The sequence below is a fragment of the Homo sapiens genome, chromosome 7, assembly GCF_000001405.40.
Source record: "Homo sapiens chromosome 7, GRCh38.p14 Primary Assembly".
Lineage (NCBI taxonomy): Eukaryota > Metazoa > Chordata > Mammalia > Primates > Hominidae > Homo > Homo sapiens.
The window spans coordinates 43,857,234-43,858,052 of record NC_000007.14 but is presented as its reverse complement, the minus strand read 5'-3'; the positions used below and the strand labels follow the sequence as shown (position 1 = coordinate 43,858,052).

At 42.7% G+C, this 819-nt stretch overlaps 1 annotated feature.

The window, feature by feature from the left end:
- Positions 1-170: an enhancer, noted in NCBI's record as "experimental_99190 CRE fragment used in MPRA reporter constructs". NCBI's record gives its function as "activates a minimal promoter by MPRAs in K562 erythroleukemia cells, with activity observed for both the introgressed and non-introgressed 7:43897567 variant alleles {active_cell/tissue: K562}" and the evidence as "EXISTENCE:reporter gene assay evidence [ECO:0000049][PMID:34662402]".

Here is an 819-nt window from a genome sequence, read left to right as displayed (position 1 = left end):
TATGCTCTGTTTCTCTTTTAAAATTGAATGCTTATAACAGCACCTAAGTCACATTTGAATGCTTTGCTGCTTAGAAATTTCTTCCGCTGGGTACCCTAAATCATCTCCCTCAAGTTCAAAGTTCCACAAATCTCTAGCACAGGGACAAAATGCCTCCAGTCTCTTTGCTAAAACATAGCAAGAGTCACCTTTACTCCAGCTCCCAACAAGTTCCTCATCTGCATCTGAGACCACCTCAGCCTGGATTTCATTGTCCATATCATTATCAGCATTTTGGTCAAAGCCATTCAACAAGTCTCTATGAAGTTCCAAACTTTCTCACTTTTTCCTTTGTCTGAGCCCTCCAAACTGTTCCAACCTGTTCCTGTTACCTGGTTCCAAAGTCGTTTCCACATTTTCGGGTATCTTTACAGCAGCACTCCACTATACTGGTACCAATGTACTATATGAGTCTGTCTTCACACTGCTGATGAAGACATACCCAAGACTGGGTAATTTATAAAGAAAAAGAGGTTTAATGGACTTACAGTTCCACGTGGCTGGGGAGGCCTCACAATCATGGTGGAAGGCAAAAGGCACGTCTTACACAGCAACAGGCAAGAGAGAATAATAACGAAGCAAAAGGGATTACCCTTTATAAACCCATCAGATCTCGTGAGAATTATTCACTACCACGAGAACAGTATGGAGGAAACTGCCCCCATGATTCAATTATCTCCCCTGGTCCCTCCCACAACATATGGGAATTATGGGAGTTACAATTCAAGATGAGATTTGGCTGGGGACACAGCCAAACCATATCAATGACTAACCCTGACC